The sequence below is a fragment of the Homo sapiens genome, chromosome 11 (genome assembly GCF_000001405.40).
Source record: "Homo sapiens chromosome 11, GRCh38.p14 Primary Assembly".
Taxonomy (NCBI): Eukaryota; Metazoa; Chordata; class Mammalia; order Primates; family Hominidae; genus Homo; species Homo sapiens.
Genome location: NC_000011.10, coordinates 81,453,657 through 81,456,416, shown reverse-complemented (window position 1 = coordinate 81,456,416; position 2,760 = coordinate 81,453,657). Strand labels below are relative to the sequence as shown.

At 42.2% G+C, this 2,760-nt stretch overlaps 1 annotated feature.

Annotated features, from left to right (window-relative positions):
• Positions 1,979 to 2,480: an enhancer, noted in NCBI's record as "H3K4me1 hESC enhancer chr11:81164979-81165480 (GRCh37/hg19 assembly coordinates)". NCBI's record gives its function as "activates a minimal SCP1, AML or CMV promoter by ChIP-STARR-seq in naive H9 embryonic stem cells {active_cell/tissue: H9 hESC(naive)}" and the evidence as "EXISTENCE:reporter gene assay evidence [ECO:0000049][PMID:30033119]".

The window sequence follows — 2,760 nt, the reverse complement described above, 5'->3', positions numbered from 1 at the left end:
TTGGGTATATACCCAGTAATGGGATGGCTGGGTCAAATGGTATTTCTAGTTCTAGATCCTTGAACTAGATCCTTGAACTGTCTTCCACAATGGTTGAACTAATTTACACTCCCACCAATAGTGTAAAATCGTTCCTAATTCTCCACATCCTCTCCAGCATCTGTTGTTCCCTGACTTTTTAATGATCGCTATTCTAACTAACTGGTGTGAGATGGTATCTCATTGTGGTTTTGATTTGCATTTCTCTGATGGTCAGTGATGATGAGCATTTTTTCATGTTTGTTGGCTACATATATGTCTTCTTTTGAGAACTGTCTGTTCGTATCCTTTGTCCACTTTTTGATGGAGTTGTTTGTAAATTTGTTTGAGTTCTTTGTAGATTCTGGCTATTAGCCCTTTGTCAGATGGGTAGATTGCAAAGATTTTCTCCCATTCTGAGGTTGCATCTTCACTCTGATGATAGTTTCTTTTGCTGTGCAGTAGCTCTTTAGTTTAGTTAGATCCCATTTGTCAATTTTGGCTTTTGTTGCCATTGCTTTTGGTGTTTTAGTCAATAGACATGCGCATTTTACTTTCATAGATACCTGAAAGCTATGCCAACCTTTCCCTCCTTATTTTTATTATTGGTCTAGCAAAGTCTCTACATTATTTCCTAATATGTTTTAAGGGCTCCACAATCTTTCCTGCCACAGTGATCCAGACAGCCAGTTCCAGGCAGATGAAATCAGACCGTGAGATGGAACACATTTCCCATAGTAGTGAGTGTTTATAATTGTACGTTCTTTCAGTATCCATTTTTAAATATAAGTTTAGCTTTCTCATACCAGAAGCAGGGCTCTGTCACCCTTGACACAGTTTCTAATACTATACCCCACCCAAGTGGCTGCAGTCACTGGCTGGAGGTAAAACTTAGTGACATCTCTCCTGCCTAGCAAGCTAGGCACCCAGCTTTCTTACCACTTCCTTTAAAAGGATCATGCAGACATTAACCTGTAAACTAAAAGTGACTGGCCCTGTCATAGATGATGTTCTGGAACTAGTGCCTACTTGCTTTAAACCTACCAATTAATTACCTGCAAGAAACCTGTGTGGATAATGTCTTGGACCCAATAAAGCCATTGGCCCATGGTTCCCTAATGTCTCTCTCTCTCTCTCCCTCTCTCTCTTTCTCTCTCTCTCTCTGCCTTTTCTCCCTGACCCTCATGTATGTGGCTTCCACGGTGCATTGTACCCTCTAAGGTCTGTAATTACTAAAAACTCTTAAACTTTCACACCGTGGTTGTGTCACAAAAGCTCCACCAGAAAACTGGCCCCTGACTTTTAAGCAAACTGCTCCAGCCCAGATGGGAGCTATGTTGGTGAATCCACTGGTGAAGCCTCTGGTGGCTGCTGGGGACAGTAGGTACCAGCTGAGTTCATTGAGAGACTTGAATAGTTTCATTCACAACACTCATCTTTCCTTGTACTATCACACATTGCTCTTCATTTTTTTTCCTTTCTAATGATAAGCACTTTTCTCCACAATTAACTGGAGAATATAATGCTATAGCAGGCTCAACATCACTTAGTAATTGCTTTAACAGCCGTCAGAAAGGAGGCCTTTGTTCTCAAGAAATTAACACCATCACCTACAATTTGCAGAAGCTAGTAAATGAAGGATCTTCCTTGATGCCTCTCTTTCCCTTATACCCCACACTCAATCCATCACAATACCCTCTCAACTCTACCTCTAAAATATATTTTGAGTTTGACCCCTTCTCTCTGTCTCCACTGCCACCAACGTATTTCAGCCCATGAGCATATCTAGCCTGAATTACTGCAACAGCCTCCCAACTGGTCTCCATTCTTCTATACTTATCTTTCTCTACAAAAATGTATCTATAACACTGCTAGAATTATCTTCTTTTTTTTTTTTTGAGACGGAGTTTCGCTCTGTCGCCCAGGCTGGAGTGCAGTGGCGCGATCTCGGCTCAACTGCAAGCTCCGCCTCCCGGGTTCACGCCATTCTCCTCCCTCAGCCTCCCGTGTAGCTGGGACTACAGGCGCGCGCCACCACGCCCGGCTAATTTTTTTTTTGTATTTTTAGTAGAGACGGGGTTTCACCGTGTTAGCCAGGATGGTCTCGATCTCCTGACCTCGTGATCCGCCCGTCTCGGCCTCCCAAAGTGCTGGGATTACAGGTGTGAGCCACCGCGCCCGGCCAACACTGCTAGAATTATCTTCTTACAAATATAAATCAAGTCACTGTCTTAGAAAATTTCAAACTTGTTAACCTAGACGCAAAACCTGAACTACCTTGCACCTGCTTGCTTCTGTGAATGTGATTTCTACATTTCTCTCTCTTCCTCTCTATGCTCCCTTGACACAAGCTACCTTTTTGTGATCGCAAAGAGCCAAAAGCTCATTCCTACGTAAGTCTTTCTTCTTGGTGTTTCCTCTGCTATCCAGCTCTTGTCCTGGTCTATTTCTTTCTTTTTTGTCAAGTTTCAGGTCAAATATTTTTATCCAGAGAGCATTCCCTGACTCCTATCTGTTGCAATTCTCTTATTTTCACCCCTTCATATATAACTACTTGAAGTCACCTAATTCACCTGTTCACTTACCTATTGTCTATCTCTTTAAGTCAAGCTCCATTAGAAAAGACTTTCTATATCTCTCAATCAACTTCATACCTCTGGTGCCTGCACCAGATCCACAGCAAGGACTCAATCACTATTTCCTACATGAATGAATAGCAAGTAACAGAGTGGTTAGAGCAAC